This window comes from Homo sapiens, chromosome Y (assembly GCF_000001405.40).
Source record: "Homo sapiens chromosome Y, GRCh38.p14 Primary Assembly".
NCBI lineage: Eukaryota > Metazoa > Chordata > Mammalia > Primates > Hominidae > Homo > Homo sapiens.
Genome location: NC_000024.10, coordinates 24735841 through 24745157, shown reverse-complemented (window position 1 = coordinate 24745157; position 9317 = coordinate 24735841). Strand labels below are relative to the sequence as shown.

Genomic DNA, 9317 nt, shown 5'->3' with positions numbered 1-9317 from the left:
ATCTGTTGTCAGTTTTATTTTATGCTGATTATTTCTACCAGCCGTAACAATTGGGAAATAGGCAAAAAGTTGGTTGTATTTATTTCCTAGATAATCAATAACAAACTTCAGAGCAATCTAATGAGACAGAGTTATAGGTGCACAGAAGAAGAAGAAAAGCTACAGTTGTGTGGAGCATGGATGGCTAAACTCCTGGTTAACTCGATGGGGTCAAAAGGACAAATGTGGGGCAGAGTTCAGATCTTTTGACAGGGTCAACGGATCTGGCATCAGTCCCTGGCTGCTCTCTTCTAAGTTTTCAGTCGTGCTCTTCTCCATTCCTCACCAGACCCCTGGCCTCTTTGGAGCTGCCTGGACAGGAGCTCTCCTGGCCTCTGGCAAACTCCTGGCTGGGTTGCGGATGGAAATTCCTGGTACCCTTAGTTGAGTTCATACAAGCTGAACGTTTTCAAAAGGAACTAATTTTACTTGAGCCAACTAAACAAAACTGAAATACACACAGAAAATACAAAAGCACAGAAATAGATGAGGGTTCCATGCCATGGGCATTTTAATCATGTGTATCAAGAACCTTTATAGAGTTCATGTCTGGCCCAGCCAATCCACTTCTAGGAAGTTATCTCAAGGTGATGTACTGGATATGAGTTGAAAGATGTGTATACGACGTATTTATCAACAAAAATTGGAACAAGGTAAATATGTTCTGATAGAGGAATAATTCAAATAGAGTATTTTCATACCATTTAATACTCAGCTACGAAGCAGGGCTGGTAAACTTTTCTGGAAAAGAATAGATAGTAAGTATTGTAGATTTGTGGGCCATATGGTGTCTGTCAGAAATAATCGATTCTGCTATTGTAGCACAGCAATGGGCATAGATAGTACATAAAGGAATCAGCACATTCATGTTCCAATAAAACTTTGTTAATTTACCAAAAAAAAAAAAAACACAAAACCCAGGTGGAATTGGCTTATGAGCCTTAATTTGCAGACCCCTGGTTTACAGAGATGATATGGATTTGTATTTACTGACAAAGAGAGCTGATTATAATATACTATTGGGCAAAAACAAAAGCAGATACTAGTATAGCATTTATGGTATGATGTCACTTATGCAAAATGAAGATTGATATATATATATATATATATATATATATATATATATATATCAGTAGAGAAGTGTCTAGAAGGATGTTCAGCAAATACTAACGAAGATATTATCACTAGGTTGAAGAATTTGAGATGATTTTTTTCCTTTATTTGTTTTCACATTTTTTCATTACTAGAAAAAATATTTTTATTTAATAATTCATACTCTTTGACAGAGTACTTCCACGGTTGTTGTTGGGGTTGCCGCACAGCTGTGAAGCCTGTGCAGTTGCACACTTCCAGGAGATGCCATCACATGGACTACAATGTGAAGGATTCCCCCAGAGTTGTGTGGCGAGGCAGTCTTCCCACCTCCCATTCTCTGTTCAGCTCTGTCCAATTAATTCAGCAAGCATTTGTTTGTCATCTACTACACTAGACATTGTTCTAGACAGAAATATCGGGAAACAAAGCATACAAAAATGTTTGCCCTTGTAGTGCTTTATGTTCTAGTGAAGGAGAAAGATGATAAGGAGAATAAAGAGTGACACATATGCAAGCTTCCTGGAGGTCAAGTAGCCCAGTTTTTGGCAGAGGGAATAGCCAGTGGGAAGAAGGCAGGCAGGGCAAATATTTACAACCCTCGTTTTACAGAAGAGAACATTGGAACTTAGGGAGGTTTAAGGGATGGCTGAGGGTCAGAACGTGGTCAGCACCAGAAGCAAGGCCTTTCAATTGCAAGGTCAGGGTTCCTTCCACACTGGGACAAGAGGCAGCACCTGCAAGATAAGGTAGAGGTGAATGAACCTAGGTGGCTTTAGTTAGATTCTGCAGACTTTTATGACAGGCCAATGCATATAAATGATAATAGCTGACATCACATTAAGAAAAAGATGCAGCATCTCATGAGATCTACTACATGCTCCTGATTAGGAAAAGGAATGTTGAAAAATAGCACTGAGTTTATAAAAATAGCGTTTAGGGTGTAATTCTCATTTTTTTAGTACATGAATGCTTAAGAAAGATGTTCATCAAATGTTAGCAATGCTTATTACTTGATGGTAGGATTTCAAAGAGTTTTAAATTTTCTTCTTTATTCTTTTCTGAATTGTTTGAGTTTTTTGCAATGAGAGTGTGAAAACAGAAGAAATAAAAAAGTTTGATGTTAGAAAGATACCATTAAGCTAACATTTACACACTCTGTGCTGTTCCACAGCACCTGTAGTACCACTATTTCTTTGTAAATTCTTCCAGGGCAGAGACTGTGTTTTATTCATTCTTCTTTGCCCAGCATGTGGAACCTCCTACAAAACAAGCATTCAACAGGGTTTGTGGAACAAATGCAAAGTGCATTTGCGAACTGCAGCTTATATAATCTACAACAGACACCTAGGGGGGCTCAGGAATGACACGAACAGTTTCCAGCCGAAGGGAATTTCATTTTCTTTTCTAGTTGGAGTTTCCATGGCACCCAGAAGACCAGGGATCCTGGTAAGAAAGTTTTAAAACGCTGAAGTGGTAAGTTTGTAAATTTGTGATACCTGGTGTCAAGTCCTACTTCAGGAATCTACAAAAATTGGGCCTTTTGAATAGAAGTGTTTTAGTGAATAATGAGTGATGTGGCAACTTATTCTGATAATATTTCAATCTAGCTTTTTGCTTTTAATGGTAGTTGCCATTTCTATTGGGCTGCATCATTCCCAGGAAAGCCTTCTTTTAAAATCAGTACAGGATGTGTGCATCCTAATACAAAAATCCCAAATCCAGAAATGCCCCTGAATCTGAAAGTTTTTCAGTGCTAATATGAGATAGTGAAACCTTTGCTTTCAGATGGTTCAGTGTACAAAAACATTGTTTCATAGACAAAATTATTTAAGGTGTTGTATAAAATTACTTTCAGACTATGTGCCTAAGGTATATATGAAACATAAATGAATTCCATGTTTAGATTTGGGTCTCACTCCCAGATATCTCATTATATATATGCAAATATTCCAAAATCAAAATCAAAAACAAACAAACAAAAAAACCGCCAAATCCGAAACACTTCTGGTTTCAAGCATTTTGGAGAAGGGATTTTCAGCCTCTCCCTAGAGATTAATTTGTTTGATGTGGTCAATTGCCTGATTATTCAAACTCCTCAAAAAGTGCAGGTCTTTCCTCCATACCACCTGTTTAGGTTTTGAATAGTTTAGAAAAAAAAATAAGTGACTGTCTTTAAGTCATTGATTAAAAGTTAATAGCCTTAAAATGTTTCCATTCCTATTTTATTACAAAGTATTGCTCGAAACAAGTTTTAATAGTGAGAAGGAAAGTTGTCACCCATAGGTTTAGGCACAATTTTTCAGTCTCCTTTACTCACTTAGCATTAGACTAGAAACACTTTCCCAATGATTTTTTGAATACTTGTGTAGCATTTGAACTTGTAGATGACCACACTGTACAAAACCATTGCAGAATTAGCATACATTCATATTAGTGTTAGTTTTTTAGTGATTTTTAATTGAACAGGGAAATTTTACATATTTGGCTCTATTCTGTAACTACAAGCAAAATTCTAACTGACTTTTCCCTCTTTCAGATTCTTAATTATTAAACTCATCTGACCATTTTTATTTTTATTTATTTAATTGACAAAGAGCGTATATACTCAAGGTGTACAATGCAATTATTTGATATGCCTAAATTAGGTTGGTGCAATTAGTTTGCACCAACCTAATACATTGTATAATTACTACAATCAAATTAATTAATACATACATTATCACCCATGCTATACATTAGATTCTCAGAAATTGCTCATCTTATAACTGAAAGTTTGTCCCCTTTGGTCAAAATCTACCCATTTCCCCCACCGCCATTCCCTGGCAACTGCCATGGTACTCTATGTTTTGATGAGTTCAACTCTCTTATATTCTGCATATAATACACTGTTGACCCTTGAACAGCGTGGAGTTTGAGCACTGACCCCTGCATAGTCGCAAATCAGCATATAACTTTTTCTTAAGGCATGGGGTCTCACTATGTTTCCCAGACTGGGCCTTGAATTACCTTGGCCTTAAAACTTGATTCTCCAAAAGCTTAACTACTAATAGCCTACTATTGACCAATAGCCTTACCAATAACGTAAACACTTGATTAACATGTATTTTGTATATGTATTATATACTGTATTTGTACGCTAAAGTAAACTATAGAAAAGATGGTGTTATTAAGAAAATCATAAGGAAAAGAAAATATATTTACTATTCCTTAAGTCAAAGCGGAGAGGTCTTCATACTCCTTGTGTTCCTATTGGGTAGACTGAGGAAGAGAAGGAAGAGGAGGATTGGTCTTGCTGTCTCAGATGTGACAGAAACAGAAGAAAATTCACATATAAGTGGACCTGTACCATTCAAACTCATGATGTTCTATTAGTCTATGTGTTTGTTTTTATGCCAGTACCATACTCTTTAGATTAACATAGCTTTGTAACATAGTTTGAAATCAGGAAATGTGATGCCTCCAGCTTCGCTCTTCTTTCTCAAGATTGCTTTGGTCAGGTTTTTTTGTGGTTCCATATGAATCTTAGAATTATTTTTTCTCTATCTGTGAAGAATGCTGCCATTGGAATTTTGATAGAGTTTGCAATGAACCTATAGATCACCTTGGGTAGTATGGATATTTTAATAATATTAATTCTGATACATGAACATGTGATGTCTTTCTTTTTATTTGTGTCATCTTCAATTTATTTTCTCAGTGTTTTATATGCTGATATTTAAACTTCTTGGTTAAATGTATTCCTAAGTAATTTTATTGTGCTTGTTGCTATTGTAAGTAGGATTGTTTTCTTTCTTTCTTTTTCAGATAATTTGTTGGTGCTGTATAGAAGTGCAATTCATTGTTCAATTCCCACCAGTGATTGAGAACGTGCGGTGTTTGGTTTTTTGTCCTTGCGATAGTTTGCTGAGAATGATGGTTTCCAGCTTCATCCATGTCTCTACAAAGGACATGAACTCATCATTTTTTATGGCAGCATAGTATTCCATGGTGTATATGTGCCACATTTTCTTAATCCAGTCTATCATTGTTGGAGTTAATGGGTGCAGCACACCAACATGGCACATGTATACATATGTAACAAACCTGCACGTTGTGCACATGTACCCTAAAACTTAAAGTATAATAATAATAATAATAATAATAATAATGAAAGAATTGCAATTCAATTTTAATGTTGATTTTGGTATTCTGGAACTTTACTGAATTCTCTTTTTAGGTCTAACAGTTTTTTGGTGGAGTTTCTGTATACAAGGTCATGTCATCTACGGAGACAATTTTGCTTCTTCCTTTCTGATTTGGATATTTTTTATTTCTTTTTCTTGCCTAACTGCTCTAGGTAGCACTTGTGGTACTATGCACAATAGAAGTGGTGAGTGTGGGCACCCTTGTTCCTGATCATAGAAGAAAAGCTTTCTGCTTTTTACCATTGGGTATGATGTTGGCTGTGGGCTTGTCCAATATGGCATTTATTCTGTTGAGGAACATTCCTTGCATACCTAATTTGGTGAGAGTTTTAACAGCATTTTGAAGTATAAGTGACATAAAATAAACAGCATATGTATCTAGTGTACAATTTGATAAGTTTTGACATACGTATATACCCATGAAGCCGATCAATATAGTGAACATAAACATCATCCCAAAAGGTATCCTTGTGCTCCTTTGTAATCTCTCCTTCCTGTCTCTCTCCATGTACCCTCTTCTCAGGCAACCACTGATCTCCTTTCTGTCATACAGATTGGTTTTAATTGTCTAGAGGCATATACCAATGTAATAATACAATAAGTAGTTTATTTTGGTGTGGCTTCTTTTATTCAGCATAATTACTTTAACATTCATTCATATTGTTGTATGTATCCATAGACCTTTTTTTTTTTTTTTTTTTTTTTTTTGCTGAATAGTATTTCATTGTATGAATACACCAACATTTCTTTATCTAGTTACCTGTTATGGACATTTGGGTTGTTTTCAGTGTGAGACTTTTACAAATAAAGCTGCTATAAACATTTATATATGAGTCACTTTATGATACGCTTTTAGTTCTCTTGGATATACAAGTGCTGGATCACATAGCAGGAATACGTCTGACTTTTTAAGAAACTGCAGGTTTTCCATTTTTCGTTTCCAACAGTATATCAGTTCTAATTCCTCCACCTCCTTGACAACATTTGGTATTGTCAATCTTTTTAAATTTAGCTATTGTGGTAGGCATATAATGCTTTTAACTTGTATTTTCCTAACTACTAATGATTTTGAACATCTTTTCATATGCTTATTTCCCATCCCTGTATCTTCTTTGTGGAAGTATCTGTTCAAGTATTTTGCCCATTGTTTTATTGTTTTTCTAACTCGATTTTGAGAGTACTTTATACATTCTGGATGAAGGTTGTTATCAGACATATTCTGTGCAAATATTTTCTCCCAGTCTGGCTTGTTTTCTCATTCTCTTAGTAGCATCATCTGAAGAACAGAAGTTTTGAATTTTGATGAAATCCAGTTTATCAGTTTGTTCTTTTATGGATCATGCTTTTGGTGTTACAGCTAAGAAATCTTTGCCCAGTGCAAAGTCACAAAGATTTTCTTTTAGAAATGTTATCGTTTTTGGTTTCTAACTTAGGCCTGTGACCCATTTTTCAGTTCATTTCTAGGTATAGTGTGAAGTATGGATTTTGCATATGGTAACCAATTATTCTAGCACCATTTGTTGAAAAGACTGTCCTTTCTCCACTTAATTACATTTGCACATTTGTAAACACAAACACACAGACAGACAGACAGACACACACACACACACACACACACACACACACACACACACACACCCCATATATATTTAGGTCTCTTTCTGGGCTCTCTATATTTTTTAATGATATCCCTTGTCTATTGTGATGTCAATACCCACTATTTTGGTTACTGTAGCTTAGTAATAAGTCTTGACGTGAGACAGTGTTAATCCGCCTAGTTCTTCTTTTCCCAAATTGTTTTGTCTAGTATGGTTCCTTTTCATTTCCACATTAATCTTAGAGTCAGCTTGTCAATTTCTATAAAATGTCTGCTAGGGTTTTGATTGTGATTCCATTGAATCCATAATTTGGAGATAATTGGCATATTAATAATAATGAGTCTTTTAATCCATAAACATGGTCTATCTCTCCATTTATATAGGTCCTTAATTTCTTTTGGCAATGTATTATAGTTTATAGTGTACACATCTTTCACATTTTATGTCAGATTTATCCCTATGTATTTCATATTTTTATGTTATTCAAAGTATTTTTAAAATTTCAACTTGTGATTGTTCTTTGCTAGTCTGTAGAAATACAGTTGATTTTTTATTGATATTTTATCCTAAAACCTTAGCTAAAATCAATTATTACTTCTAACTTTTTTGTGTTTCTATTAGATTTTCTAGATAGATAGTCATGTTGGCTATATATAAAGACAGTTTTATTTCTTCCATTCTGGATGCATTTTTTTCATGTCTGATTATATGTTCCAGTATCTCCAGCACAAGGTTGAATACAAGTGGTGAGAGCAGACATCCTTGTCTTAGTCCTGATCACAGAGGAAATGCATTCAGTCTTTTATCATGAAGTAAGTTTTTAGCTATAGATTTTTCATAGATGCTGTATTATTCAGGAGTCTCCAGAGGAACAGAACTAATAGGAGAGATGTGTATATGAAAGGGAATTTATTAAGGAGTATTGACTCACATGATCACAAGGTGAAATCCCATGATAGGCCGTCTACAAGCTGACGAGCAAGAAAGCCCAGTCCAAGCCCCAAAACCTCAAAAATAGGGAAGCCAACAGTGCCGCCTTCAGTCTGTGGCCGAAGGCCTGAGAGCCCTTAGCAAACCACTGGCATCAAGCCTGAGACTCCAAAAGCTGAAAAACATGCACTCCGATGTTTGAGGGCAGGAAGCATCCAGCACAGGAGAAAGATGAAAGCCGGAAGGCTCAGCAAGTCTAGTTCTTCCATGTTCTTCTGCCTGCTTTATTCTAGCTGTGCTGGCAGCTGATTAGATTGTGGCCACCCAGAATGAGGGTGGGTCTGCCTCTCCCAGTCTACTGACTCAAATGTTAATCTCCTTTGGCAACACCCTCACAGACACACCCAGGAACACTACTTCGCATCCTTCAAGCTAGTCAAGTTAATACTCAGTATTAACCATCACAGATGCCCTTTATCAGTTTGAGGAAATGCTTTTCTATGCTTAGTTTGCTGAAAGTTTTTATTTAATAATACATGTTAGATTTTTGTTACCTGCTTTTTCTGTGTCTTTTGAGATGATCATGTGATTTATCTCTTTGCTAACATGGAGAATTGTACTGATTTATTTTCAGTGTAAAATCATCCTGAATTCCTAGGAAGTAAAATCCCAATTTATCATGATATTGTATTCTTTTTATAGATTTTGAATTCAGCTTGCTAAAATTTTAATTTTTTTCTTCTATATTCATGAAGAATCTTGGCCTATAGTTTGCTTTTTTGTTAACATCTTAGTAAGGTTTTTGTGCCATGGTAATTCTGGTCTCTTACAAATATTCCCTGCCTCATAAGTTCTCTGGGATAGTTTGTATAGAATTGGTATTATTTCTTCATTAAATGTTTGGCAGAATTCACTGGCAAAGCTATCTGGGTCTCAAATCTCCTTTGTGGGAAGATTTCTAACTACAAATTGAAAATTTTTACATTTATTTTTATTTGTACATTTATTTATTTTCTGAGATGGAGTGTCTCTCTGTCACCTAGGCTGGAGCCCAGTGGTGCGATCTCAGCTCACTGCAACCTCTGTCTCCTGGGTTCAAGCAATTCTTCTGCCCCAGTCTCCCTTGCAGCTGGGATTACAGGTGTGTGCCACCATGCCCAGCTAATTTGTTTGAATTTTTAATAGAGACAGGGTTTTGCCATGTTAGTCAGGCTGGTCTTGAACTTCTGACTTCAGATGATCCACCTGTCTCAGCCTCCCAGTGTGTTGGGATTACAGGCGTGAGCCACCGTGCACACCCTATATTGATTTTTTTTTTTAAATATAAGGCTATTATCTGTTTCTTTGTGACTGAGCTTTGATATTTTATATGTTTTAGGACATTTGTTAATTTCATTTCCATTGTAAAATTTATGGGCATAAAATTTTACAAGTGATATTCCCTTTTTATACTTTTTAATATCTTAGAAAC

At 35.7% G+C, this 9317-nt stretch overlaps 1 long non-coding RNA gene across 2 annotated transcripts; it reads left to right on the top strand.

The window, feature by feature from the left end:
• The first annotated feature begins 1697 nt into the window (after positions 1 to 1697).
• Positions 1698 to 5039, top strand: LOC105377241 (uncharacterized). Of its 2 annotated transcripts, none has more exons than XR_938670.2 (3): positions 1698 to 1880; positions 2543 to 2580; positions 4939 to 5039. It is a non-coding gene; the product is annotated as an uncharacterized LOC105377241 (long non-coding RNA). The 2 variants fall into 2 exon arrangements; XR_938669.2 differs by having other exon boundaries at positions 2543 to 2607.
• Positions 5040 to 9317: the final 4278 nt, after the last annotated feature.